Source organism: Homo sapiens, chromosome 1 (assembly GCF_000001405.40).
Source record: "Homo sapiens chromosome 1, GRCh38.p14 Primary Assembly".
Taxonomy (NCBI): Eukaryota; Metazoa; Chordata; class Mammalia; order Primates; family Hominidae; genus Homo; species Homo sapiens.
The window spans coordinates 6,420,719-6,447,559 of record NC_000001.11 but is presented as its reverse complement, the minus strand read 5'-3'; the positions used below and the strand labels follow the sequence as shown (position 1 = coordinate 6,447,559).

The window sequence follows — 26,841 nt, the reverse complement described above, 5'->3', positions numbered from 1 at the left end:
GCCGGGCCAAAGACTGAGTGACCGGGTGGGGGCTGTCCTCTGCCCCACTCTCCAGCCCATGCGTCCCTGCGGTGGCCTCAGACCCTTCACCCCGCCCGACCTGGCTCACGTTGCAGGAAATGCGACACCGCAGGATTTGTTTTCTGGGCCAGCCCGCCCGCTCCGCGCCCCCTGCAGCCCGGAGGTTCGGACGCCACGACCCTGCTCCCGCCCCCGGTCAGGCACCCGCGCGGGGGGCGCCGCGGCGACACAAAGAGCCCTTTGTGGAGCGTCCGGGCCCCGGCCCTGGCGCCTGCGGCCCAGCACGCACACGGCCGAGATGGACGCACATAGCCGGGAGGGGCGCACACAGTGGGGAGGGGCGCACACAGCCGGGAGGGGCGCACACAGCCCGGAGGGACGCACACAGCCGGGAGGGGGCTCACACAGCCAGGAGGGGACCACGCAGACCTGGCACTTGGGCTCAACGGTGGAGACGGGGCACTGGCTGGGCCACCTGTCCTGTGGATTTGGGCGGGGCCAACAGTCTGCGTTGGGAACTCAGCGATTCCAGGGCCCCCTCTGCCTCCCAGAGATGAAAGGGGAAGCCACTGTGGGAGCTTGGTCTAAGGTGGCATGAAGAGGGCAGCTACTGGAGCTGGCCTGCAGGTTCGGTGTCCCTCCCATGCCTCCCTTGCCCAGTGGCCTTGTGACCCGAGTCACCTTTTATGAATTGGCCCTGGGGTGGCTTTGCCTTGGGCTTGAGAACTGCAAGGTCCCAGGCTCCAGCAGGACCCCAGGGGGCTGCCACACCACATCTGGCCACCTGTGACCTCAGGCTGTCCCCTCACCTCTTAGACCATCCTTGCTCTGTTCCTATGGCCAGAACGCCAGTGTTCCCCAGGGCACCCTGCCCGGGATACCCGGAATTGCTCAGACCAGACCTCTGCCCCAACCCCTGCTCCAGAGCCTCAGCCAGGGGCCTGCAGGCCCCAGACATCCCTAGGCACCTCACACTCCACCTGCCCACCCTGGCCTCATCCTCTCCACACAGGCTCGCTTCCTTCCAGGGCTCCCAGCTCAGGCCTGGCCCTTTCCCCCAGGAGCTCAAGCCCTAAACTGGAACCAGCCACAGCTTCACTTCCACCCAGCCCTGCTAGTGCCTGCTCACCTTCCCCCCACCCTCCTTCCAGCCCTCACCTCCACAGCCATGCCACTGGCACCTTCCACCTGGCAGCCACCTCCCTTGGGTGACACTCTCCGACTGAGCCTGGGGCTGTGGGGGTGGGGGGGCATGCTTGGGGAGGGGCAGTCTCCATGCATTCTCTGTCAACTCCATGACAACCCGGCCACTCTGTGCAAGAGGTGGCACAGGCCCAGTTCCTGGTGAGGCACAGCTGTCTGGACCTGCGTCCTTCACCCCCCAGCTCCCATGGAGGGCAATGACCTGCTCTTACTCTCCTCCCAGTCCAGTGTCCAGCCCTGACCCCTTGTGGGACTCGCCAGGAGCTTTGACTCTTGAACATGCCATGGACCCAGGGATCCCCACCCTATGCCCACTAGTGAGGCCAGGCCTTTGGCCTCACTGGCCCCCATCAGCCCAGTCCCCCTGCTGGGAGGCAGGCAGGGGGTGAGGGCTCACTACCTCCTTCTTGAGGGCCTCTGTCTCCACGTGGCGGAGTTTGTTCTTGGTCTGCATGTAGATGTCAGCTGCCTGTGGTCCTACAGGAGGCTTGGGAGCTGGGTAGCCAGGTGGGGGTGGGGGCAGTTGGGTGCCTGGGGGCGGGGGTGGCGGGGGGAAGCTGGGTGGGGGTGGTGGGGGTGTGGGCTTCCCAATCGTGCCCCGAGGCAGGCCCAGCTCCGGGTTCAGCATGTCCATGTAGCTCTGTATGTCTGCAGCTCTAGCGCTGGAAAGCCCTGGGGAGGCAGAAGGAAGGGCCAGATTTGGGAGCATGCAGACAGGCTGTCCCCCAAGACTGAGACTCTCCACCACCTGGAAACAACTTGCCGAGGGGCAAGGTGGGCTCCGGGCACCACTTGGTACACCTGCTGTGGCCCCTGGCGGTGCTGGGCTTCCCCTCCCTGGCCCTACCCTGCCCCAGCCCAGCACTTACTGGGGGAAGACCAGGCACTCCGGTTTGGAGGGGAAGCACTGGAGGCTTTGGTGTGTCTAGAGGGCAGGGTCACCTGGAAGGGGAGGGTCTACTCCTTGGGAGTACGGATGGCCACATCCAATCTTTGCAGGGCACCCCTGCCAGGTCTGGAGGCCACCATCTGGCGGCGTGAAGCAGGCATTGCAAGTGGACGGACGCCCATGCTCAGGGCACGGTCAGGGTGTGTGTACACACAAGCCTGCAGTCTGCCGAGGCGATCGTGCATTTGTGTATGTTTGAGGGGGTACGCATTTGTGCACATGCTTCTTTGTACTGATGAATGTGTGTGCATTGCTCTGTGGACATGGTGTGTATGTGTGTGTGTGTGCGTGCATATCTGTAGTATGGAAATAGAGCACTGTGTGCTTGCTTGTGTGTAGGGTGGGTGTGTGCAGATATTCGCATGGCTCTGTGTGTTCATATCTGTATGCTGTATGTACACATGTACAAGTGTGTGCTTTTGTATGTGAGTAGCTAAGAATAATGAATGGTGGGCGACACACGTGGACTTTGTGGGTGGGGAGAGTACATGTGGATGTACATGTATGTTTGTGATAAGCACACACAAGTATGAGTGACATCTGTCTCTCACCAGAAGGGGTGTCGCCTCCCCATGTTTAAGAGCAAGTGATGAGGGTAGTGTCCGATATTGGCTGTGGCAGGGCGGCCCAAGGCCAATCCTCACAGCCCAGCAGTCTGGCTTCAGTCTGCTCTCCCTCCCCGTCTTCCTCCTGGGCACACTCACCACATGGAGGGTGCTGGCCCTTGATGCTGGAGTGGCTGGAGGAGCAGGAGTCGTAGTTGGAGAGGGTGCTGGTAGGCGAGCTGAGGTCAAAGTTCAGCGGCTGGACCGACACCGTGGTATTGGGTGAGGACATGCCTGAATCCGGCTGCTTAGCCTCCAGCTCTGCGGATGGATCCCGGGAAAGCACGCGGTGCTCCACGCTCTGAAGGGGAGGCAGGGAGGCCATGAAGACAACCATACCCCAAGATGCGTTGCTCTCCAGGCCAGGGTCCTACTCAGTCATGCCTTCGCTGTGGGATCTTGGCCAAGCCACACCGCTCTCTGGGGTCTCTTCCCCATCACTAGACGGTCTCTCAGGTTCCTCCAGGTTAAGATTCAAGCCCAGCCCCGCCAGGCAGCAGGACCCAGGTTCCTGGGAAACTCCCTCCCCTGGCTCCTCCCTGATTAGGAGGGTGGAGAGATCGACAAGGAGGGGGCCCTTGAGCTGCACCCCAAGGGGAGAAATGCCAGGAGATCGGCCTTCTCCCTCACGGATCGGCAGAGGCTCCATGGGGAGGCGCACAGCACAGGCCCATCCCTAGTTACCTGGCTGGCAAGCCGGCTCTCCTTGCTGGACCTGGGGCCTGGGGCAGACTCCCAACACCAGCCCGGCCTGTCTCCTGATGGGGCCCTCGGGGTAAGGGTGGGGCCTGGATGGCCAGCTGCAGTGATGGGCAGCCAGAACTCAGGCTGCCAGGCCTGCCATCCCCTCGCCCTGCCCGGTCTGTGCGTCTGACCACAGGCCTGTCCCCTCCCGGTGCAGACGGGGCTGTGGTGGGGGCCCTGCTTACATTGCCATGCTGCCCCTGCTGCCGGCAAGCCCGCTTGCTCCGCTGCCTCCTGCCCAGGCCTGCTCCTCCTTGCCCCATGCCCCCTCCCTGCCTAAGAAGTGTCACAGGCCCCCTGGGAGAGAGAGGCAGGCCTGGCACCAGGTAACGGCTCAGCGGCCGCGCTCATTGGCCCCGTAATTAGGGGCTCTGTGGGAGTGTTTGCCTTTTCTGGGCCAGCGTCTTCTGTGGCTTGGATCTGTCCCTGCCGCAGCTGGGCCTGCTTGGGTGAGGGAACCAGGGCACACATACTCCACCCATTCCAGGGGACCAGGCCCTGCTGCCTACCGCAGGAATCAGGGGAGCCATAGGAGGTGGCGTGGGCAGCACCCGAAGGTGCTCTTTACCTGGCCAACAGCAGTGGGTGCTGAGGGCACCAAGCCCTGACCCCTGTAGGCAGCAGATAAGAGGCTGGGCCACAGCAGGTGTACTGCACCTGGCCTGAGCCACCCAGCTCTGCAGTCTGGGACAGTGGCTTCAGACTTCCCCTCCCTGACTTACTAGCTATTTCGGGAGAGTCACCTATGCTTTTTGTGCCTAACTTTCTTTATCTGCAAATGGGGATAACAGCACTACTTGCTCTGCTGAGCTCCAGGACATGGCACCCAGTAAATGCCATATTGTCAACTTTTTTTTTTTTTTTTTAGACAGAGTTTCATTCTTGTCGCCCAGGCTGGAGTGCAGTGGCGTGGTCTTGGCTCACTGCAGCCTCCATCTCCCGGGTTCGAGCAATTCTCCTGCCTCAGCCTCCCAAGTAGTTGGAATTACAGGCGCCCGCCACCACACTCAGCTAATTTTTGTATTTTTAGTAGAGATGGGGTTTCATCATGTTGACCAGGCTGGTCTCGAACCCTGACTTCAGGTGATCCACCCGCCGCCTCAGCTTCCCAAAGTGCAGGCATGAGCCACCCCACATGGCCTCTCAACCTTTTTTTTTTTTTTTTTTTTTGAGACAGCGTCTTGCTCTGTCACCCAGGCTGGAGTGCAGTGGCGTGATCTCGGCTCACTGCAACCTCCGCCTCCCGGGTTCAAGCGATTCTCCTGCCTCAGCCTCCCAAGTAGCTGGGACAACAGGCACCCACCACCATGCCCAGCTAATTTTTATATTTTTAATAGAAACGGGGTTTCACCATGTTGGCCAGAATGGTCTCGATCTCTTGACCTTGTGATCTGCCCGCCTCAGCCTCCCAAAGTGCTAGGATTACAGGCGTGAGCCACCGTGCCCAGCCTTTTTTTTTTTTTTTTAGAAGGAGTCTTGCTCTGTCACCAGGCTGGAGTGCAGTGGCGCGATCTTGGCTTACTGCAACCTCCGTCTCCTGGGTTCAAGCGATTTTCCTGCCTCAGCCTCCCGAGTAGCTGGGACTACAGGCGTGTGCTACCATACCTGGCTAAATTTTTTTTTGTATTTTTAGTAGAGATGGGATTTCACCATGTTGGCCAGGATGGTCTCGATCTACTGACCTCGTGATCTGCCTGCCTTTGCCTCCCAAAGTGCTGGGATTACAGGCATGAGCCACTGCACCCGGCCAACTATTTTTTTAATGTACTGTGAAGAGTAACGGAGATTACACCTTTAAGGCACTCGGCAGGGTGCCTGCCTAAGTCAGAATCCAATGAATAGTGTTTGCTGTCCTATGACCGCTAGCAGCTGCATCCAGAGAGGCCCTCAGGTGCCCTGGGCTCTGGTGCCACCCCCCACGGTCCCTCAACAGAGTCACAGACACTCTTAACTGAAGGGGACCCACCATTGATGCAGAAATGCCCTTCCCAGTGTCCATCCCAGCTTATATACCCTAGTGACAGAGTGCTCACTACCTGCTGGGCCATTCATTCTCTTCCAGAGACTCTTTCGCGGGGGGAAGTTCATCCTCAGGCCCCCCTGCAGCCTCTGGCCTCTGGGCCTTGCTGTGTTCTGCAGCCCCCAGAGCCAGGACCATCCCCCTGTGCTGGGGGGGGGAGGGCAGATGGACAGACGGTGCTCAGGGCACAGACCATCTGCCTTCTTCCCTCCGGGCCTCATTGCACAGCCCCTCCATGGCCAGGCTGCCCCATGGAGTTGGTCCGCATCCTTTTCGGGTTGACTGCGAGGCCCACTCTCTTCCCTGCCTATTGCCTCATAGCAGGCATTGTACCAGATGGTGCAGAGCCCTGCACTTGGAGACATCCACAGCTGAGTTCAAGTCCCATTGGGTCACTTCATGGCTGTCTCACCATAATAACATAATTTAAAAAGAGTAGCGTGGGTTTCCAGTTATGACCCAGCCATGAAGTCAGCAAATGTATGGTGCAGGGGCTGAGAGGTGCCTCCTGGCCAGGCCATCAAGGTAGGTTCTCCACTCTAACAGTTACTGGTGATGCCATCTTGGTGCCCCGCAGACTCACTTTATCCATATGTGGAACGGGACACTTAAACACTCTTTTCTGCAGAGGGTGGCTGTGAGTTATACCCAAGCTAATGTCTATGGGTAGGTGAATGAGCCTGCCTATTCCCAGTGGGTCCTGTCTTGTGATTTCTCCAGCCTTACCCCTTGGGGTGACTCTGGTCTTCCCTGTCCTCTTTCCGTTGACCTTTGTGCCTCTACTCCCTCAGTCCCCAGTAGGCAGTGGTTCTGGGCTGAGAGGTCGTGTGGGGTAGCGGGCTTCACGTCCCTGAACCTCAGCTTCCTCCTTGGTAAAAGGGGTGACGACACCCACCACTGGGGTGGAGGGGCGAGAAGAAAGAATGCGACAGGAGCAGCTCAGGGATCGTACCAGGTTCTCCACCGTGCGCAGGTAGCGGGTGCAGTGGCTGTGGCCGTTGAAGTCCGACAGGTCGGCGGCCGTGTACCCGTCGCGGTCGCGGACGTCCAGCTCCGCGCCGTTCACTACCAGGATCTGGCAGCACTGCGGGGGCACGCAGTGAGGACCCGGCCGCGGCCGCGAGCTGGGACCCCCGCGCCCGGGCAGGGCCGTGCTGAAAGCGCGGTGCCAGCAGAGGGCGCGCGCCCCCACCCCGGGCCCGCGCTGACCTCTAGCTCCCCGTTCTCGGCGGCGTCGTGCAGCGGGGTCCCGCCCCACAGGTCAGCCGAGATCTCCCCGCCGTGCAGCAGCAGCCAGCTGAGCACCTTGGTGTGGCCGCGGCTCGCCGCGAAGTGCATGGCGGTGGCGCCGTCTTTGTCCTGCTCGGACAGGCTCACGTCGGTGCAGCTCACCTGGGCGGGACGGGCGGGGAGAGGGGGGCGGGGGCTGGGCGCCAGGCCCCTGTAGGCCCGCCCCCTGTACCTCCGTGGCCCGCCCCCGCCCCCCCGCCCCACCCCTGATGGCCCCGCTCCCTCCACTCCCCGCCCTGCCGGCTCCGCCCCGCCTCCCCTGCTCCCCGCCCGGGCCCGGAGCTCACCAACCACACGATGACTGGGCTGTGGCCCATCTGCGCCGCGGCGTGCAGCGGGGTCATGCCGTCGTGGGCGCGCGCGTGCGGGTCTGCGCCGCATTCCTGCACCAGGTACTGGGTCACCTCCAGGTGGCCCTCCTGGCACGCCAGGTACAGGGGCGTGGCACCGTTCTTGGTTTGGGCATTCACTCCCCTGCGGAGACACAGCGCCCACCGTGGGCTTTCAGCGCCTCACCCCCTCCGAGGCCTTCTTACCCGCCCCCATCCCGTCCCGGGGAGCCCTGGACGGCAGGGAGAGTGGGTGGGAAAGGGCCCTGTCACCGGCCCGCTGCTGCCCGGGGGGCTCCCCCTGGACTGAGTCCTGAGCCACCCTCCCTCAGAGGTCCCTGAGGGCGTCCCACCCAGCACTGCCCTGCCCTCAGTCCTACTTTTTTTTTTGAGAAGAAGTCTAGCTCTGTCGCCCAGGCTGGAGTGCAGTGGCTCGATCTTGGCTCACTGCAACCTCTGCCTCCCGGGTTCAAGCGATTCTTCTGCCTCAGCCTCCTGAGTAGCTGGGATTACAGGCATGTGCCACCACGCCCCGCTAATTTTTTGTATTTTTAGTAGGGACAGGGTTTCACCATGTTGACCAGGCTGGTCTCGAACTCCTGACCTCGTGATCCGCCCATCTCAGCCTCCCAAAGTGCTGGGATTACAGAGCCACCGCACCCAGGCTCAGTCCCACTTTTTAACCGAGGTCTACAAAGATGTGGTGAGCTGGCCTCTTCTCCCCTCTCACCCACTGTCACCATGAATCCCCACACCTGCTGTGTCTGACCTCTATCCCTTTCATTGTGTGCCCCCTCCATCTGGAATGTCCTTCTCCTCCCTCTTGAAGACTCAGTACCCATCCCTCCTCCATGAGGGCCACCCTGATTTATTTCCCCCTTGCTGGCCTCCGCCCCACACTGCCCAGGGCCACTTGAGCATGACCTGTCATGCTTGGTTGACCATAACTGATTTTGACCTTTGCCTCCCCCAGAAGACTGAGTTCCCAGAGGGCAGGGTGGTAAGGGTTGCCAGACAAAAGGCAGTTCACACAATTCAATCTGAATTTCTGATAAACGGATAATGCTTTAGTATTCTATATCCCAAATATTGCATGGGACATACTTATACTAAAGTACAGCTTGTTTATCTGAGATTCAAAGCTAGTCAAACGTCCTGGGTTTGGTTGTTGCTGTTTTTGTTAATCTGGCAGCCCTCAGGATGTCCACTATGTACTGAATGCTTCTGCTGTGCTAGCTCTGGGCTACGGCACTAGCAAGCAGGTTCTTCTTTTTTATTTTTATTTTTGAGACGGAGTCTTGCTCTGTCATCCAGGCTGGAATGCAATGGCGCAATCTCAGCTCACTGCAACCTCTGCCTCCTGGGTTCAAGCCATTCTCCTGCCTCAGCCTCCCAAGCAGCTGGGACTACAGGCATGTGCCACCACGCCTGGCTAATTTTTGTATTTTTAGTAGAAACCCAGTTTTGCCATCTTGGCCAGGCTAGTCTCGGACTCCTGAGCTCAAGTGATCCGCCTGTTTCAGCTTCCCAAAGTGCTGGGATTACAGGTGTGAGCCACCGCACCCGGCCATCAACTATTACTATGACCATCAACTGAGATTACACCGGTAAGGCACCTAGCAGGGGACCTGCCAGAATCAGAATTCAGTCAATGGTGCAGCTGCAGCTGAGGAGGCTCACAGGTGGGGCTGGGACTCTGTGCCATCACCCATAGTCCCACAACAGAGGCACAGACTCAGCTCTCTCCTCGGTCACACAGCTGGTAAGTGGCATTTGAACACCCATCTGTCTGTGCATGCAGGGCCTGGCCGGCAATATGGGCATGCAGGGACTGAAGAGCTGGAATGTGTCTCAGGGGCTTCTCCTAGGGCCTAGCTTTCGGCTGTCACTGTCCCTTATCCTTGCTCTCCCAGCCCAGAGGGGGGCCTTTGAGCTGTGCCACAGTCTTGCTTCTTGTCTCTTTGTCTTCCCAAACCCATCCATGAAATGGGGACAACAGTTGTCATCCTGACCTTGTGCAGAGTGCCTGAGAAGTGCTTGCAGAGCCCTGAGCACAGGCCTGGTGCCTGGCGCACAGCCATTGCTGAACTTTAGGATCCTTCCTTGTGCCTGGGAGGACCAGCCACCAGGAGGGTCTATGGCTGGCCTGGTGTGTCCAGGTGAACAGCCAGGGTGCAGTTACCACCGAAGGACACTAGGTGGAGCCACAATCTATCCCCAGACCCAGGAGAAGCTCCAGGTTGGGGGCCGCGACCTATTGGGTTCCAATTCACCTTTTGTGCTTAGGAGGCCAATTCTTCACAGGACTTCACATCCTGCCCATCTACCTCCCCCAGTGTTTCACCCCCTAGATCAACCACATGCTCCACCCCGCATTCATCCCTCGCTCACCCATCCAACTGCCCATCCGCTTGTTGCCTGCCCATCAATGGGCACCAGGCTACCCCCCTTTGCCCACCCACCCTCTTGTTCCCAACACGACTTAGCCCCTCTTCTGACCCCTGTCACGTGTGCCCTCTCCCTCCCTCTCACACACATCCTGAGACCCTCCCAGCTGGCATCTCCCTGTCCCTAAAGCCCTGGTTCTCTGTCTACTTCCCTGACTCCTGAGACCCCAAGGCTGTCTGCAGCCCCCATGGACCTCCACTCACTGATTTCTCCTCCCTCCCCACTCCCTAGACACAGGGCTGCCATTTGCTGGGGCTGATGCTGAGCCCGGCACTTCACGATGGTGCGGGGAGCAGGCACCATGCCTGGTGATCCAGAGGGGGTCCCGTCGACATAGATGAGGGAGACAGAAGACACAGCTACGTATCTATCTTCAGAAACATGCTGGCTCGTGGCTGCCAGCCTCCACACCCCAGCGCCAGCGTCACCCCCACGCACACTCACATGCTGCTGCGTCAGGAACAGGCTGTTGAATATTTCATGACTGACACTCAGCGGCCTAAATTATTCACCCCGTAACCAAGGCACAGTGAGTGCCGGGGTCTTGGGGATCAGGGGCTGGTGGGGGCCCACTGGGTTCTATCTGTAGAGGCCCACGGCGGTCTGCACAGCTGGTGGGGGGGCCAGACCTGCGGTGAGCTCTGCTCTCCCAGCACCCCCCACTTGGCAGAGATCCATGACCCAGGGGTGCCCAGCCAGCCGGAGAAGGTCTGAGAAGCTGGCACCAAGCAGGATCTGAGCAGCAGGGGGCAGTGGTACCCACAGCCTCCTGCAGGGCCGCTGGCTGGCATTCCCAGCCCAAGTTCCTGGCACGGAATGAGCCCTCAGTAAGTGCTGGAGCTCATCACCATTCTCGTTAGTATTCCACCATCTGCACTCACACGCCCCATTATGGAGTCAGAGCCTCCAGCTTGGAATACCCCAGAACATGGGACAGATATGCTGATGGGCTGAGGGGGAGGGGATCCTGGCTCAACATCCCCTTGGAATACCCCAGAACATGGGGCAGATATGCTGTTGGGCTGCGGGGGAGGGGATCCCGGCTCAACATCCCCCTCCACCTTGGCCTGAGGACAAGAAGAACAATGGGCACTCTCACAGTCACTGGGGAGTATTACAAAGATATGGATGAGCATAAGGACCAAAATGAAATTCTCATCACACACCTGGAATCCAAGCACCTTCGGAGGCCAAAGCAGGAGGACTGCCTGAGCCTAGGAGTTCGAGACCAGCCTGGGCAACATAGAGAGACCGCCATTCTCTACAAACAATACAAAAATGAGCCAGGTGTGTTGGTGCACACCTGTAGTCCCAGCCGCTCAGGAGGCTGAGGAGGTAGGATCACTTGAGTCCAGGAAGTTGAGGCTGCAGGGAACTATGATCATACCACTGTACTCCAGCCCGGGTGTCAGAGCAAGATCCTGCCTCTAAAATAAATAAATAAATAAATAAATAAATAAATAAATAAGAAAAAATTCCCATCACTGGAGAGAGGAATTAATAAAAGTAATAATAGTAAATAATAATAGTGATAGCAGCCACCATTTACTGAATGATTACTCTGTCTCAAGCACTGTGATGAGTACAACACACACGTTCTCTCAGCTGGTCCTTGTAACCCCACAGGACAGGTGTTAGCATTGTTCTCCTGGTACAGATGAGGAAACTGAGGCACAGAGAGCTAAGATCACTCTGTGAGAAAGAGGCAGAGCCCCAATTTGAGGCTGCGTCTCATGCAGAGCCTGCTTCTGACTCCAAATGTGCCACGTCTACACCCCTTCTGCTCTTGGTTGGTCTGTCCCTCTGCCTCCCTCCCTCCCACCGCACAGACCACTGCCCTTCTCCCGCAGACCTCACTGCTGGGAACTCAGGAACACTCTTTGCCAGCTGCTGGGGCACAGCCCCGGCAGGAGGACCTGCAGGGAGGGCCCCGGCTTCGCTATAAGGAGGACCTGGCTCAAGTCCCGTGCCTTTGAGCTGTGCCACAGTCTTGCTTCTTGTCTCTTTGTCTTCCCAAACCCATCCATGAAATGGGGACAACAGTTGTCATCCTGACCTCATGCGGAGTGCCTGAGAAGTGCTGGCAGAGCCCTGAGCACAGGCCTGGTGCCTGGTGCACAGCCATTGCTGAACTTTAGGATCCTTCCCTGTACCTGGGAGGACCAGCCACCAGGAGGGTCTATGGCTGGCCTGGAGTGTCCAGGTCCTGCCAAGTATGGGCCAGGCTGGGCACCATTTCTGTTGTGGGGAACACTACCTAGAGGGGAGAGGATGGGTCTTTGGGGAGACCTCTGACTCCCAGACCCCTGCCAGCTCTAGCCCCGACCACAGTGACAGCTGCAGAAAAGTGCTCCCAGACCAAGCCCTTGCCCTTTGCCCCGGCTTTGACCCAAACCCTCTTTGTAGGTCAGAGGCGCCCTGGCGATGATCATATAAATCATGATTTGTTTTCTTTCTCCTGGGAACAAAGATGCTATGGATGAACTGTAACTATTCATCAAGTCACCTCTGATTACACAAAAGAAACATGGGTCGCCCGTGTGGGCTGTGGGAATCTCCGGCGGAGACTGGTGCCAGCTGACTGCCAGCGCCGCCGCAGGGAGTGAGCTGCCCATGGGGCCAGACCCGGGCTGAAGAATGATTCCCGCAGCCCTCCCCACTGCCAGTCATGCCTCCCCAGAGGGAGGCCAGGAAGAGGCTCTCCATCCGAGGATCAGTCCAGCTGCGGCCTGTGACTGCTTTGAATTGAAATTCACCGAGCCTATGGTGGCTCTATGGCTCTCGGTGTCCTCCAGTCAAACTTCCCGGCCTATGTTAAAAGATTCCCGAGTAGGCCTGGCCCAGGGAAGAAATGCAGCCCTGATTTGAGAAAGGTTCTACACCCCAGGCCGTCAGCTAGCATGGAATAGTTCCAGAAGCCTACAGTTGCCTGCAACTCTCCCAGCCTCCCAGGTCTTCCTCCTGGCCCCTAATTAGGCCACATTTGACCCCACCTGAGGCCTCTACACCTCCCCGCATCACTGCCAGTTCCATCAAGGCAGGGCTGCGAGGCCCACCCTCTTTTCATTAGGGTCTCAGCTCTCCTCTCCTCAAAGACACCTGGCTTCCCTGACCCCTCAATTTCAAGAACCATCCCCATCGCTTCCTACCAAACTGCTCATTTCACTACACAGCACTTGTCACTCCTGAATTATCTTGTTCTCCTATTCCTCAGACCCATACACACATGGATAGAAGAATGTATGGCTGACGTGATGACGGGCCGGGCAGTTGGGTGCACCCAGTTGCTTTTTGTTGAATGAATAAATATGAGAAGGGACATCCAGGCCAGGAGTAGGGGATCTCTCTTCACTCATGGCCTCAGGCTGGTAGGGCAGGTTAGGTCCACTTGCCAGACAGGCTTGGGAATGCTCAGAGGGGAGTTTTGTCTAGGGTCACATGCAATGAGCTATAGGCAGAGTGGACAAGTCCCTGGGATTCCATACCCCACTCATTCAGCAGACGTTTACTGGAGTCAGGCTCTGGGCATACAGAGCCGGGAAGACAAAGCCCCTGGCCTCATTAGTCAGGGACAGATGGGATGAAAACACACATCTGTCTGTGTGATGAAGGGCCTGGCTGGAAATTCGGGCATGCAGGGAGTGAAGAGATGGAATGTGTCTCAGGGGTTTCTCCTAGGGGTTAGCTTTTGGTTGTCACGCAGGATGCACACAGAACGCAAAGCCAGGCAACCATAGGGCAGCTGGGAGGCCAGGTGCAGTGGCTCATGCCTGTAATCCCAGCACTTTGGGAGGCCGAGGCGGGCGGATCACCTGAGTTCAGGAGTTGGAGACCAGCCTGGCCAACATGGTGAAACCCCATTTCTACTAATAATACAAAAATTAGCCGGGTGTGGTGCCATATGCACCTATAATCCCAGCTACTCGGTAGGCTAAGGCAGGAGAATCACCTGAACCTGGGAGGTGGAGGTTGCAGTGAGCCGTGCCACTGCACTCCAGCCTGGGCGATAGAGCGAGACTCAAGTCTCAAAGAAAAAGGGCAGCAGGGAACAAGGCCAGTGGGAGAGTGAGTGGGCATCATGGGTGCGGTTGACAATTTCAGCAAGGCTCAGGGTTGGCCTTGCTGAGGTGAGGTCTGGGCAAAGACTTGGAGGAAGGCAGGGTGCAGGCGGGTATCTCTGATCCCTGCAGAGGGATCAGCCTCTGTGAAGGCAGGGGCGCTGGCCTGTTGGATGGGACCACAGCCCGGAGGAGGGATGGCCTCTGGGCCATTGTAAGGAAGTGAGCAGCCTTCCCTGTCAGTGGTCAGAAGCCTGTGATGGGACTTGTTCTTTTTTTTTTTTTTGAAATGGATTCTTGCTCTGTTGCCCAGGCTGGAATGCAGTGGCACAATCTTAGCTCACTGCAACCGCTGCCTCCTGCGTTCAAGTGATTCTCATGCCTCAGCCTCCCAAGTAGCTGGGACTACAGGCAGGAACCACCACACCCGGCTAACTTTTTTTCCTCCTGAGATGGAGTCTTGCTCTGTCGCCCAGGCTGGAGTGCAGCAGCACGATCTTAGTTCACTGCAACCTCCGCCTTCCAGGTTCAAGCAATTCTCCTGCCTCAGCCTCCTAAGTAGCTGGGATTACAGACACCCACCACCATGCCCGGCTAATTTTTGTATTTTTTAGTAGAGATGGGGTTTCACCGTATCGGCCGGGCTGGCCTCAAATTCCTGACCTCGTGATCCGCCCGCCTCAGCTTCCCAAAGTGCTGGGATTACAGGCATGAGCCACTGCACCAGACCAGGACTTGCACTGTCTTTTCTTTTCTTTTTTCTTTTTTTTTGAGATGGAGTCTCACTCTGTTGCCCAGGCTGGAGTGCAGTGGTGCGATCTTGGCTCACTGCAACCTCCGCTTCCCTGGTTCCAGCAATTCTCCTGCCTCAGCCTCCCGAGTAGCTGGGACTACAGGCACGTGCCACCACACCCAGCTAATTTCTGTATTTTTTAGTAGAGACGGGGTTTCTTCATGTTGGCCAGGCTGGTCTTGAACTCCTGACCTCGTGTTCCACCCGCCTCAGCCTCCCAAAGTGCTGGGATTACAGGTGTGAGCCACCGCACCCAGCAGGACTTGTGTTTTCAAAGGCTGCGGGTGGACATGGACGGGTGAAGGCCAGGGCCTTTCAGGCTTACTGGGGACTTCCCCTTTTCCGTTCTGTAGTGCACAGCCTCACAGAGCCTGGCTGCTCCCATGGCCCAGCTGAGCCCAAGGGGTTCAGGTAGCCCCCACGTGAGGCAGAAAGGGGGTTTCTCAGAAGCCCTAGGATGCCCCAGCAGTGTGCTGCTTACAGAGCCCCAGGGTCCAAGGCTCAGCTCTCCCCCTTAGAAGGGTAGGGCAGGGGCACTAGCCCCGGTTAGACGACAGCTGGGACCAGGAGCTGCTGGTGGAGACATGAGATGGTCTCCTGCTGTGAGGGGCTGCTCCGGACTCCACCAGGCCCTTCCTTTCCCAGAGCCTCCACGTAGGTCAGGGGGTCAAGGACAGCAGCCACCTCCTCAGTGCGGACACAGGCCCTGCCCCCACGCCCTGCTGCCAGGTGAACTGACAGACACCAAGGGTAGACCTGGAGCTGGTGATCAAAAAGGAATGAGCCCCCACGGCCTGTGGCAGAATCAGGGGCTTAGTGGGGAAAGGGACCACCCCAGGCACAGCCTCCAGCCTTCTAAGGGGGAGAGTTGAGCCCTGGGCCCTGGGGCTCTCTAAGCTGAGAGCTGCTGGTGCTTCCCAAGAAACTCCCTTTCTGTCCCAGGTGGGGGCTGCCTGAACCCCTGGGCCGTGGGAGCAGCCAGGCTCCATGAAGCCTTGCACAAAGGAAGGGAAAAGGGGAAGTCTCCGGTGGACTTGAAAGGCCCTGAGTGATTAGGACCTGGACCAGGAGTGGGAGAGAGACCCAGAGAGGAGGTACAGCCTGCTCAAGGCCACACAGCAAGCCAGTGGTGACCACAGCTGGTGAATCAGCCTCTCTAAAACACCATTTCTGTACCTGTCAGCTCCACGAGGCAGGGAAGCTTGTCTGGTTCACCAGCATATCACTGGCATTTAGAATATTGCCTGGCACATAGAAGATGCTCAATAAACATTAGTTGAATGAGTCCATCTGTAAAATGGGCTGATTACATAGCTACTGCTCGGGGTGGTTGTGTGGCTCAGATGACACTGGGTGGTGCCAGACCCCTAGAAGATACTCAGCACCAGGTTCTTTTTCTTTTCTTTCTTTTCTTTCCTTCCTTTCTTCCTTTCTTTCGTTCGTTCCTTTTTTTTTTTTTTTTTTTTTTTTTGACAGAATCTTGCTCTGTTGCTCAGGCTGGAATGCAATAGCATGATCTGGGCTCACTGCAACCTCCGCCTCCCTGGTTCAAGTGATTCTCCTGCCTCAGCCTCCCAAGTAGCTGGGATTACAGGCATGGGCCACCTGTACAGGCATAGCCCGGCCACATGCCCAGCTAATTTTTGTATTTTTGGTAGAGACGGGGTTTCACCATGTTGGTCAGGCTGGTTTTGAACTCTTGACCTCAGGTGATCCACCTGCCTCGGCCTCCCAAAGTGCTGGGATTACAGGCATGAGCCACCGTACCCAGCCCCAGGTACTTTCCAATCCCATTCCAGTCTAGTCTGGTCGGGGGTAGGGGAGGCTTTCGGGGAAGGAGGCACCTGCTGAAGTTGATAAAATCTCTGGGCTAACTGGTTTTCCAGCTTGCTGTGACTGGCAGCACCCACGAGCCCAGGGGAAGAGCCTGGAGCCTCCTCACTCCCCAGCCTGGAAGCTTAAGCCTCAGGGTCCCAACTGATCCCCAGCTCCCTGACCCCCACAGCCCTGCCCAGCTGCTCAGGCCCTGGGGCAGCCAGAAGCAGGTGTGAGGGGGACAGAGTGAGCTCCTGGGCTCCAGGACCCTCCTGGGAGGATGGCCACCGGCCTTGGGGCCACCTGCTCTTTGCCCCTCCTCACTCTGCCCTGATTAGGGATCTGGACCCCTTGTTCCCCTCCATCAGCCACTGGAGCTCCTGCCGGGAGGGCCAATCCTCCCAACTCAATCTCCCTGAGACCCAGAGCCTGGGACTTGCCCAGCCCGGCTCCTGCCAGCCCCATGCCTCCCAACTGAGAGATGCCTTTTTTTTTTCTTTTTTTTTCCCCCTTGAGACAGAGTTTCACTCTTGTTGCCCAGGCTGGAGTGCAATGGCTCAATCTTGGCTCACCGCAACCTCCGTCTGCCGGGTTCAAGCGATTCTCCTGCCTCAGCCTCCTGAGTAGCTGGGATTACAGGCATGCGCCACCACGCCTGGCTAATTTTGTATGAGAGATCTCTTTTCTACAAGGGCTCAGAGGGAGGGTCCCGCGTGGCAGCAGCCCCTGAGGTCAGTGTGACAAGTCCTCTGCTTCTGGGAAGACTTGGCCCCATGAACGGGACAGACGGGGAGGTGTGGGGGACGTGCAGGACATTCCTGCAATCTCAAGCGCTTTCTGTTATAACACCCCAAGGTATAGACCTGGAATTAGCTGAGCTTCCCCGAGGCTGTCCAGCCTTCCAGCTCCTCTGCAGCGTGTCACTTCCTCGTCCCGTGGCCACCCACAGCCTCCCTGGCAGGATCGAGTTTCCCACCAGCAGGTCCGGGAGCCCTTCCTCCCTCAGTGCTCACCCACGCGCCAGCGAGAGAGCTGAGCCTTGTGAATAATTCACAACGATTCACAGCAGGCCCCAGAGGCTCACAAGAGCATGAAGCTGGGCCACCTGGGTCCCCTGATGGGGCCCTGTGTCCTGGGGCAGCTCAAGCCTCTGCCCTCCCCAGCTCCCAGCCCTCATATCCACAGCCTTGATGAGCAGGAATCCCTACCCCCAAGGTAGGAGGTTAAGTGGGTACCCCAGCCCCCAACCCCAATTCCCAGCTGCCCCTCCTGCGTGAGCCCAGCCTGGCAACCACACAAAGACACCTTCTTATCAGTCGAGTCACATGCTGCTGTGGGGAACGGAGCCCAAGCCCTCTGTCCACCTCCCTGAGATTCATGGTGACTCCTGGGGGGCTGGCAGCTCATCAGTCCAGGCCATCTGGCCACTGAGTCAGCACCAGCGCCCAATCACACACAGCACCTGGCATGGCCTGGGAGGGGGTCAGGGTCCCCCAGCCCCGGAGCCCTGGAGGGCGTTCCACAGCACAGCCAGTCTTCCTAACACCTGGGATCCAGCCCACGGAGGGATCACGGCTTCTCAGTGAGGAAGGCTCAGGGGCTGGCGGTCCCCACCAGCACTTGCAGAAGGTGGGCTCAGCGTCCTCCAGTTCACACTTGGGCCATATTGGTCCCGCCATCAGGGGCACCTGCCCCTCTCAAGACCTGTCCTTCTCCTCTGCTTGAAGTGAGGGGGTGGGACAGGTGCATCAGAATCACCGCCGTGAGGGTGGGGACATGTCCCAGGTGTGGCTCCCACGCCCCAACCTGGAGAGTCTAACTCAGGAATCTGGGACAGCCTCCAAGAGGTGCTGACAGGAGCCAGTTGGAACCCTCTACTCAAGGGTCCCTGGGGCCCTCCTAGTCTAAATCCCACTGACTTTGACATGATCCAAATCCTAGTTTGTTTGGAAGCAGTGAATTCATACCAAAGCTGCTCTCGTCCTGAGGCTGGGTCCACATTCACATTTACATCTCAGGCTCCCACTTAGACTAATGAGGGTCACCCATCAGAGCACCCCACTCCCCGCTCAGACCCCTGTGGCATCTGGCACCCTACCCTCTCAGACAGGCCCTGGGCAGCTTTCCCCAGGATCCCTGCCTCCCCAGGCGCACCTAACACCTGAGTCCCTCCCTCCCTCCCTCCCTCCCCAAGACTCACACATGCCCCCTGCTCTGTGTGACCCCCCACCCCACCCAGGGGAGCTCCCAGCCCACTCCCCAGGAGGTTTGGGATCCCCATGCTTCCCTTGATAGTAGGAACGGGCTGAGGGGCCACAGGAGATAACAAGATGCTCTCTGGATGGCCTCCAGCCAGGGGCTCTGGGGCCAGGAGGTGGGGTGGGGGTCTGGGAGGGGCCTTTCTCCCTTAACTGCTTGGTAACTGATGGGGTTCCCTTTCTGCCTGTTTGACTAGGGCCTAGGAGGCGCTCCTGCCCTTGCTGCCCCCGACTCCATCCTGAACAGTCTTGCAAATGAGCACAGCCTGAGCCAGAGAGAGCCCCTGCGGCAGAAGCAGCCCAAGGGGAACAGGTGACCTTGGCCTGTGTGCCCAGCCTCCCAGGTCCAGCTGTGTGCGGCCGGGCAGCTGAGGATGCTGGGAGCACCTGCTTGCAGGGCTCTGGGGGCAGCCCCAGAAGGGGTTTTCCAGGAGGGGAAAATTTCATGTTGAGTGGGAGCCATTTCTCTGGCCTGGCCCTCTGGCCCCAGGATGGCCACTGGAGGGATCATTGCCCTGGAGTGCCAGAGAGGCGTGGAAAATCCCAGGCATCCCCCAAAGCCCTGGCCCAGCCCACCCAGAGGACCCCTTAAGAGGGGTGATCTTACTCAGGGTAGTGCTCGACGAGAAGCCTCAGGGAGGGGAAGTCTCCTTTGGCGGCAGCGTAGTGGATAGGCAGGGCGCCCATGTCTGTGGCCGCGGTGGGGTCCCCACCGCCATGATGCAAGAGCCAGTTCACCACCTCGGGGTGGCCGAAGCGGGCAGCCAGATGCAAGACTGTGGCACCAGAATTGTCTTTGTCCTGTGGGAGGAGAGCTGGTTCAAGTCCTAAAGCCTGTTGCTGCCCCGCCCCTGGCTTGGGCCACTCCCAGACTCCCACAGGCCTGGAAGGTAGCTCTGTGCTCTCTGTCTTCCCTGGAGGGATTGGCCAGGCCTCATTCAGCAATGTTTTTTTTGGGTCAAGCGGATCCTGGGTTTGAGTCCTGCTTCTGTCCTTGGGCAACTAACTGGCCCTCTCTGAACCGTAGCCAATAGGCAGCACCGTGCAGGGTTTTCAGAGGCTGCAGGTCCTGACTGCGAGCTGCCTACACGACAGGCACCTGGTTGTCACGGCAGGAGACTGGCACCAGGCCCAGGGCCACAGCCCTGACTCCCAGGGACTCAGGGAATGCCTGAAGGAGTGACACAGGGTTACTGGGCTGAGCAGGGCCAGGAAGGGGGGCTGTGGGGCTGTACCAAGCTAGCATCAGGATTGGGGGTCACCCCCTGCATCCAACACTTGCCCCCGATCTCTCCACCCTTCCTCGGTGTCACGTGGGAACAGAGACCTCCACCTTGGTACGCCTCCAGGAACCCAACCTCAGTGCAGAAAACCGGCCCCTCCCCCAGCAGACTCGCCAGTGCCCAGCCACAGGAGCAGCCTGTGTTCTCGCCCCTGTGGAGGTGGAAGTTGCTGGGTACTGGTGGGCGGGTCCGGGGCAGTCAGCCAGGGGTGCTAGGTGCAGGCTAGTGGTGGCCTCTGGGAGGGCTTGGACAAAACTCCCCCCGGGGACCTCAGAGCAGGTGGGGCCAGAGGTCTGGGCCCAGAACTGCTGAATGTGTCATCAGTGCACACCCCATTGTGTGTGTCTGCTGAGAAAGGGGCTGGAGGGGAGTGCTTACAGGACCTGTGCTGGGAGGAGAATTCCCGGGAACATCTAGACACAGAGGCTGCCGCACTTGGCAGAGTGGGTACTGGTTCGGGAACAGAACCACCTCCCAGCACCAAGCACATAGGATGACAGAGGGGTGGGCAGGGTTCTGGGTGCAGGATGCAGTGGACACACTTCACTAGGATCAGGGAGTAAAGCCTCTCTGCCCCGCCTTGCCCAGAGAGAGGGCACTGTGGTTACAGACTGGCAGAGGCGGCAGGAGCTGGCAAGAGACCCCAGGCCTCAGGAAGTCAAATCACGGTGGGAAGAGAACCTCTGAGGCTCCCGTGAGAAATGCAAGGAAAAGAGGGCACGGAGGGAGCTGGGGGCGCCGGGGCCACTAGTAGGGTCTTCAGGCAGCCTGCGGGGTGGGGGCAATTGTCTGGCTGTCCTGCTAAGGAGGCAGGGAGGAAGATGGGGCAGAGAATGTGATGGCCCATAGGAAGCTGAGGACAACACCGAGGCCCCTCCTGTGTGCTAGAAAGCTGGGAGTGGGGGGGCCAGAGACTGGTTCAGTCTGTCCCCTCCGAGCCCAAAGGTCGGGGCTGGCTAGCGGGCACCCAGGCAGAACCATGGTGAAATGTGACCTAAGCCCCAGCTCCTGAGAAAGGCGCTCCCTTCCTATTGGCCTTGGGGACTGTGGGTCTGAAGCTCCAGGGGTCCCACTGGCTCTGGGCCTCTAAGTGGTGGAAACTGTAAGGAGAGGGCCACAGGCCTGTGGGCTCTGGCCTGTGCCTGTCCAGGCTGTCCAGGTGTCCAGGCCCCAGGAGCCTCGTGCGTGGTGGACCACACCCTAAAGCAGCTTATCTCTCTGGGCTGGGCAAGCCCAAGGATCCAGGTCATCCCCCCCACACTTTCTCCCCCCACACCCAAGCCTGCCCAGCCCAGAGGGCAGGAGACGATAAGCTGGGCCCAAGGCCACCTGCTTCTCCCAGCTCCTCTGCACTGGCCAGAGAGGCTTCTGGCCAGGGCTGGACACTGGATCTGGGAGGCATGCCACCGCCCAAAAGAGTGGGCATGGGCCACTTGGCCAGGAAGCCCTGGTAACAGGGCCCACTGAGAGATAGCAGGTGGGCCATCTCCCAGGAAGGGTGGGAAGAGGGGCTTGCTATCTGAAGGCAGAAGGTGGGGTTGGCCTGGCCATCTTTGGGGCATAGTAAGCCAGTTTAGAGTTACCCTGACTCCTCCCCTTCCATCTCCAGGTCACCCAGTGGTCTAAGTGGAAATCGGTTGTGGTTCCTCCCTCCCATGGCTGCCCCCACACCCAGAATTTCATCCAAATCCCTAACCTCGGCCTATGATACTCTCTGGCCTGGCCCTGGCAGCTTTTCCCTTCCTCACCCACTCTGAACATGATGCCTGAGGCTGGCCCTCCGACAGGACAAGAGCGTGCATGCCTCAGGGCTCTGCACTTCTTGTTCCCTGTGCCTGGAACTGTCCCACCGCTGCCTGGCTACCTGCTTCTCAGCAGCCAGGACTCCCCTTGGAGGTCACTGCTCAGAGTGACCAGGTGGGGTCTGGAGGCAGCAAGAATCAGCCTGGGTTGGAGAAGCAGCTGACAGCTTGACAGCACTGATGTCCTGGGGTCAGCCTGGGTTATGGGGAGACCCCCATTTACCACGGCTCATCACCCTTCCCCCACACCCTGGCTGGGACACCTGAATCTCAGCCTCGGGTGGGCTGTGGGACTTTGCCCAGCCTCCTTTCAGATCCGGTCCTGGAGGACACGGGCGTCTGACTCTGCTGCCCAGGCCTCACGTCCCACCCACTTCCAGGACTACAGGATCAGTGCTTTGCTTCTCCCGGTACACACTAGTAACCACAAGCCCCACGGAGGCCCCTCCCTTCTGGCTCCCATCACCCAGGTGCGCTTCCAGGGAGCACCCAGGCTCGCCAGGGCATCTGCCCCAGTACTGGCAAGCCAGGGAGCCCATTCACTTGAGGGCCTCTGGAAGGAGCTCCGTGCAGGGTTCAGCTGGGCCAGGAGGTGCCAAACCCCACCCATCCTTGAGCCCCGGGGGACTCTGGGCCAGGACTCTGTCCTGAGGAGGAAGCCTCAGTGCCCCTGGCGAACCGCGCGGACCCACCTGCACTCTGCAGCCGCCCTGCGACAGCAGCCACTGCAGGCAGGCGAGGTGGCCGGTGGCGGAGGCGTCGTGGGCCGGTGTGGCGCCGTTGCGGGCGCGGGCCGCGGCGGGGAGGGCGGCTTCCTCCACCAGGAAGCGCAGACAGTGCAGCTTCCCAGCGCGGGCCGCGTGGTGCACGGGCAGCGCGTCCAGCGGGTCGCGCAGCGAGGGCCCCAGGAGGCCTGCGGCGTGCAGCGACCTCAGCACGTCCAGCTCGCCCTGCCGCGCCGCCTGCAGCGCCTGCTCCAGGGCCATGGTGCCGCGTGCGGCGCCGCGACTCCGCACTCAGCGCCTTCCCCAGGACGCCATGCACGTGTTCTTGCGGGCCAGAGGAGCCCGCGGTGCGGCCGTCGGGGATCTGCGGGCCGGGAGGCGGAGCGGCTGTGGGCCTGGCCTCCGCTCCGCGCTGCCTGGCGCTCCGCTCCGCCGCGCTCTGGGGCCGGAGCCCGCGGACGCCGGCTTAAGACTCGGGCCCGCCCCCACCCCGCCCCGCCCCGCCCCGCAGCCTCCGCCCGAGTTCCCCGCCCGCCCCCGCCGCGACGCGGGGACACTCGTGCGACTGGGGCAAGGTGCCCAGGGGCTTCTCTCCTAATTTGCCTCACGTAACAGTTGAGACCCCAGAGGGCAGCAAAACTGGGTTCGAATTGGAGAGCCGTCCAGGCACAGACAAATTCATTCATCTGCCCAGTGCCCGCTAACTGCGGTTCCAGGCGCCGGCGACGCAATTCCAGAGGTGATGGGGAGTGATTGTCGGGACCGCGTGGGCGGACAGGGAAAGGTCTCTGAGGAGGTGCCGTGGGGCTGGGTTTGAGCGGCGAGAAGGGTATTCCAGGCGGGGTGAGGAGCACGAGGACAACGGCCCTGAGGCAGGAGCAGCCCTGCCACGTCCCTGAAGGGCTCTGGGTCGAAATCCCCGGAGATTGCAAAGAGCCCTGCCTTCCAGGGTCCCTCCAGATCCGAGAACTGCCCCCAGAGGTTCCAGCGGGGAGGGCAGGAAGGCAGGACGGGAACCACTAGTGCGCTGGGAACGCCATGGCCTCAGGCCGCCCGCAGCCGCTGTCGGTGTGGAGGGGCTTCCAGCCACACAGAAGGCAGGGATGGGTGGGAGGTTAGGGCTTGTGGGGAGACGCGGGAGCGCCGGCATCCAGAGAGAGGGGGCTGAGACCCCTGCAGGGGCTCAGGAAAGTGCCAGAGGGCGCGGGCAGGAGAGCGAATGTGTGCCAAGCCACCCTGCAGGCTCCACTGAACACCAGCCGTGGGAGCGGCTAGTGCCCAAAGGACGCGAGGAAAAGCTGACAGAAGGTGGGAGCTACATGGCTGTGGGAGTGCAGGCGGCCTATCAGCGATCTTGAAGCACCCTGTGCCCTTCCTGTCCCAACACCCACCCCCTCTGGAGTCCCGTGGGGGCTTGGCCCCACCCCGGGCTGAAGGTTTCACTCCGCCCCAGCCCCAGCCTGGCACAGTCAGCACTGGAAATGCTGTAGAATGAAGGAAGCCCCTTCCAGGAACAGTGGGAGTCATAGTGCTAAACTCATAGTGCTAAACTCGGCAGCTGCCTCCGGTCCTTTCCCTGGGCCTGCCACCTAGTGGCGACCTGCGTGATGGCCTCCCGCGCTCCCAGGTGCCCAGGTAACTGGAGCTGCTGGGCTGTGCCTAGCCAGGTGGGTTTCCAACGACTTCCACCAGGCCAGATCGCCCTCACTCTCTCCATGGGACCTGTGGCCGCTGGAATCTGGGACGCTTGCCCAGTGGTTTGCAGACAAAAGGAAGGAGGAGTCATTTCCTCGCAGCCTCGCTGCTGGAGCTGGTGGCCAAAGCAACAGGCTCACTGCGGCTGGCGCTGCCCTCCTCTGGGTGCCCAGAGGCAGGTGTGCCGTGAGGCCAGCAAGTGGCAGGGGTACTGTTGGGAGGAGGTGCTAAAATGGCTTGTCTTGGGCACCCCTCCCCTGGGCCTCCTCCATTCCAAAAGGCCCTGCAATTTGTGTTCTCCACTCCTAAGGTGGCCACCTTGGTCATGGACGAGCTCATCTAGCACATGGTTTTGTGATTTTGTGGGCCAGGGCTAGGTGATGCTTTATTGCTATTCCAGTGGGCTGAGCAGATGCCCCTGAGCCCCTGCCACTGTTGTTAATGACATCTCCATTAGTGCCACATGTGAGCACCCACCCCTGCTGACCAACCTCTCAGACTCCTTTCGGGACATGACTCAAACTCAGGCTGTGAGCCAGGCCCTTCCTGCCAGGCTTCTGTCCTCTCCGGGCTCTCCCATGTCCACCGGGCCAATTGGGTCCTCCCCAGCAGCCCTAGGGAGCTCACGGCAGCAGTAGCACTTTTATGAAATCTGTACCACCCACCAAGTGCTCACCATGCTTCACATGGATATTTAATCCAGAGGTGCTATGAGAGAGGTACAACTATTGTTCCCAGTTCACAGTCGGGGATAATGAGGCATGGAGAGATAGGGAGGGTTTTTTTTCTTTTTTTCTTTTTTTTTTTTTTGAGACAAGTCTTGCTCTGTCGCCCAGGCTGGAGTGCAGTGGCACAATCTCAGCTCACTGCAAGCTCCGCCTCCCAGGCTCACGCCATTTTTCTGCCTCAGCCTCCCGAGTAGCTGGGACTACAGGTGCCTGCCACCACGCCCAGCTAATTTTTTGTATTTTTAGTAGAGACGGGGTTTCATTGTGTTAGCCAGGATGGTCTCGATCTCCTGACCTCGTGATCTGCCCACCTTGGCCTCCCGAAGTGCTAGGATTACAGGCGTGAGCCACTGTGCCCGGCCTGTTTGTTTGTTTTTTGAGATGGAGTTTCACTCTTGTCACCCAGGCTGGATTGCAATGGCATAATCTAGGCTCACTGCAACTTCTGCCTCCCAGGTTCAAGTGATTCTCTTGCCTCAGCCTCCCAAGTAGCTGAGATTACAGGTGTCTGCCCGCCACCATGCCTAGCTAATTTTTTTATTTTTTGTATTTTTAGTAGAGATGGGGTTTCATCATGTTGGCCAGGCTGGTCTCGAATTCCTGACCTCAAGTAATCTGCCCACCTTGGTCTCTCAAAGTGCTGAGATTACAGGCATGAGCCACCACGCCCAGCCTTGTTTTGTTTTTTTAAAGCATTTTGCCTGAGATGACACAGATGGGAAGTGGCAAAGCTTTCACTCCCTGGCTGAGCCTTCTGGGCTCTTCTTTCCTCTCCACCCAAGGTTCCTTCTGCCCACAGCACCCCTAGAGTCTCCCACCCTCCAGCTATCAGCTTAGGGATTCTCTCCCCAGGAGGGCTTCTCTCACCCCTCTGCTGGGCTCACCCCAGCCCACCCCAGGTTTCTCCTCAACCCAAGGGCCAGGGCACTTCCCAAGAATAGGGACCAGGGGTGGAGTGTATCCTTACTGTATCCTAGGTGGTCCCAGTTCCCCTAAAGCCTGCACCCGACATTTGCCCACCTAGCTGTCTTTAACGTTCCTCTGATTCCAGACCACTCCTTCCAAGTAACCAGCAAAACCTGAAAATCCTTGAGTTGAAGAGAACTGTGGGTTACTTGGTTAAAGTCCTTTACCCAATGGGAGAGTAGAGGAAGAAATATTTTTAACTGGGGGTAACTGGCAATGGAAATGGTGTTTGCTCCCCTGCCATTCAGTCTTCAAATGGTGGTCCGCAAACCTGGAGGGGGATGTTCTAAGGGGAGCCTCCTCCTTCAGCCTTTTTCTCCCAGGAGCTAGGGTCAGTCCCTCCCCAAGATGCAGATGCTGCAGGCGGACTTGTGGGTGCAGACCTGAGTCAGCCAAGCTAAGTCGCTTGGCCTGGGGATGAGAGGGAAAAGATCCACAGAGTTTTTTGAGCTCTTAAAGAACAATTAATTGTCTTAGGGGAGGCCTATGGAGTCAAACTGGCCTCAACCACGGAGAACAAGGTCTCAGGTTCCTCCAAGCCCTGCTGGGCCAAATCTGTTGAAGGATTTATTCTTACTTGTTAGGTCTTTTATGAGGGTTAATGCAGGTTAGCGAGCCTTAAAGCGTTAAGCCCTGAGCTTGGCACACAGTAAGTGTCCATGAAAGGTGGCCTACATTCCTTCCCATGCCACAGATAGGTATGGGTGGCCTGGGCTCCCCTGGCCCAGGCTTCTCCGGGCCCCTCAGTGTGTTCGCTGGCCTTCTTCCACCCTGCGGCGAGAACCCTGAAGGAGGGAGACGTGGGGCTAGCGGCAGGGGTGGAGCTCGGAAGTGGGGTTCGGGGGACAGGGGGTTCATCCAACACCCTGGACAGAGCCCTCCTTGGCCCCGCCCCATAGGGGAACTCCTCCTGGCTGGCTCTGTGGATCCCTCCAGTCATCTCTCTGCCCGGCAGTTCGCAGTGTGGTTCGCGGGCGTGGCCGTTGCCCCGCCAGCCGGTCGGGGGAGGGGAGCCCGGAGCAGATGGGCGGGGGACGCCAGCCAGTTTGCCGCAGCAACGGCCACGCGGCGCGAAGGCGGTCCTGGGCGGGCCACTGGGGCCCGCACCC

At 59.2% G+C, this 26,841-nt stretch overlaps 1 protein-coding gene and 1 non-coding gene across 10 annotated transcripts in view, besides 12 other annotated features; one reads left to right on the top strand and one right to left on the bottom strand.

Annotated features, from left to right (window-relative positions):
* ESPN (espin) overlaps positions 1-22,784 on the bottom strand; it is a 36,595-nt gene extending 13,811 nt beyond the window's left edge. For 6 of the 9 annotated variants that reach the window (XM_017002433.2, NM_031475.3, NM_001367474.1 and 3 more), the window contains exons 1-7: positions 22,311-22,784; positions 19,141-19,334; positions 7,120-7,306; positions 6,752-6,934; positions 6,495-6,626; positions 2,878-3,079; positions 1,625-1,896 (exon numbers count right to left, since the gene is read on the bottom strand). In XM_017002433.2, coding sequence (XP_016857922.1) covers positions 1,625-1,896; positions 2,878-3,079; positions 6,495-6,626; positions 6,752-6,934; positions 7,120-7,306; positions 19,141-19,334; positions 22,311-22,604 — 1,464 coding nt within the window. In that variant the 5' untranslated portion in view covers positions 22,605-22,784. Of the gene's footprint in view, positions 1-511; positions 1,256-1,624; positions 1,897-2,877; positions 3,080-6,494; positions 6,627-6,751; positions 6,935-7,119; positions 7,307-10,775; positions 10,867-19,140; positions 19,335-22,310 lie in introns of those variants that run through there. The other 3 variants (XM_011542238.4, XM_011542237.1, XM_011542233.3) reach the window with 3 other exon arrangements.
* Positions 17-675: an enhancer, noted in NCBI's record as "H3K4me1 hESC enhancer chr1:6506945-6507603 (GRCh37/hg19 assembly coordinates)". NCBI's record gives its function as "activates a minimal SCP1, AML or CMV promoter by ChIP-STARR-seq in naive H9 embryonic stem cells {active_cell/tissue: H9 hESC(naive)}" and the evidence as "EXISTENCE:reporter gene assay evidence [ECO:0000049][PMID:30033119]".
* Positions 2,217-2,356: a silencer, noted in NCBI's record as "silent region_156". NCBI's record gives its function as "represses an Ori minimal core promoter by ATAC-STARR-seq in GM12878 lymphoblastoid cells {active_cell/tissue: GM12878}" and the evidence as "EXISTENCE:reporter gene assay evidence [ECO:0000049][PMID:35858748]".
* Positions 3,737-4,279: an enhancer, noted in NCBI's record as "H3K27ac-H3K4me1 hESC enhancer chr1:6503341-6503883 (GRCh37/hg19 assembly coordinates)". NCBI's record gives its function as "activates a minimal SCP1, AML or CMV promoter by ChIP-STARR-seq in naive and primed H9 embryonic stem cells {active_cell/tissue: H9 hESC(naive and primed)}" and the evidence as "EXISTENCE:reporter gene assay evidence [ECO:0000049][PMID:30033119]".
* Positions 5,140-5,639: an enhancer, noted in NCBI's record as "H3K4me1 hESC enhancer chr1:6501981-6502480 (GRCh37/hg19 assembly coordinates)". NCBI's record gives its function as "activates a minimal SCP1, AML or CMV promoter by ChIP-STARR-seq in naive H9 embryonic stem cells {active_cell/tissue: H9 hESC(naive)}" and the evidence as "EXISTENCE:reporter gene assay evidence [ECO:0000049][PMID:30033119]".
* Positions 5,640-6,141: an enhancer, noted in NCBI's record as "H3K4me1 hESC enhancer chr1:6501479-6501980 (GRCh37/hg19 assembly coordinates)". NCBI's record gives its function as "activates a minimal SCP1, AML or CMV promoter by ChIP-STARR-seq in naive H9 embryonic stem cells {active_cell/tissue: H9 hESC(naive)}" and the evidence as "EXISTENCE:reporter gene assay evidence [ECO:0000049][PMID:30033119]".
* Positions 7,022-7,131: a silencer, noted in NCBI's record as "silent region_155". NCBI's record gives its function as "represses an Ori minimal core promoter by ATAC-STARR-seq in GM12878 lymphoblastoid cells {active_cell/tissue: GM12878}" and the evidence as "EXISTENCE:reporter gene assay evidence [ECO:0000049][PMID:35858748]".
* Positions 7,370-7,883: an enhancer, noted in NCBI's record as "H3K27ac-H3K4me1 hESC enhancer chr1:6499737-6500250 (GRCh37/hg19 assembly coordinates)". NCBI's record gives its function as "activates a minimal SCP1, AML or CMV promoter by ChIP-STARR-seq in naive H9 embryonic stem cells {active_cell/tissue: H9 hESC(naive)}" and the evidence as "EXISTENCE:reporter gene assay evidence [ECO:0000049][PMID:30033119]".
* On the top strand, positions 17,664-17,726 carry MIR4252 (microRNA 4252). The gene has a single exon (NR_036218.1). It is a non-coding gene; the product is annotated as a microRNA 4252 (primary transcript).
* Positions 18,883-19,002: an enhancer, noted in NCBI's record as "active region_82". NCBI's record gives its function as "activates an Ori minimal core promoter by ATAC-STARR-seq in GM12878 lymphoblastoid cells {active_cell/tissue: GM12878}" and the evidence as "EXISTENCE:reporter gene assay evidence [ECO:0000049][PMID:35858748]".
* Positions 22,605-22,654: a silencer, noted in NCBI's record as "silent region_154". NCBI's record gives its function as "represses an Ori minimal core promoter by ATAC-STARR-seq in GM12878 lymphoblastoid cells {active_cell/tissue: GM12878}" and the evidence as "EXISTENCE:reporter gene assay evidence [ECO:0000049][PMID:35858748]".
* Positions 22,685-22,844: a silencer, noted in NCBI's record as "silent region_153". NCBI's record gives its function as "represses an Ori minimal core promoter by ATAC-STARR-seq in GM12878 lymphoblastoid cells {active_cell/tissue: GM12878}" and the evidence as "EXISTENCE:reporter gene assay evidence [ECO:0000049][PMID:35858748]".
* Positions 22,841-23,454: an enhancer, noted in NCBI's record as "H3K4me1 hESC enhancer chr1:6484166-6484779 (GRCh37/hg19 assembly coordinates)". NCBI's record gives its function as "activates a minimal SCP1, AML or CMV promoter by ChIP-STARR-seq in naive H9 embryonic stem cells {active_cell/tissue: H9 hESC(naive)}" and the evidence as "EXISTENCE:reporter gene assay evidence [ECO:0000049][PMID:30033119]".
* Positions 23,455-24,069: an enhancer, noted in NCBI's record as "H3K4me1 hESC enhancer chr1:6483551-6484165 (GRCh37/hg19 assembly coordinates)". NCBI's record gives its function as "activates a minimal SCP1, AML or CMV promoter by ChIP-STARR-seq in naive H9 embryonic stem cells {active_cell/tissue: H9 hESC(naive)}" and the evidence as "EXISTENCE:reporter gene assay evidence [ECO:0000049][PMID:30033119]".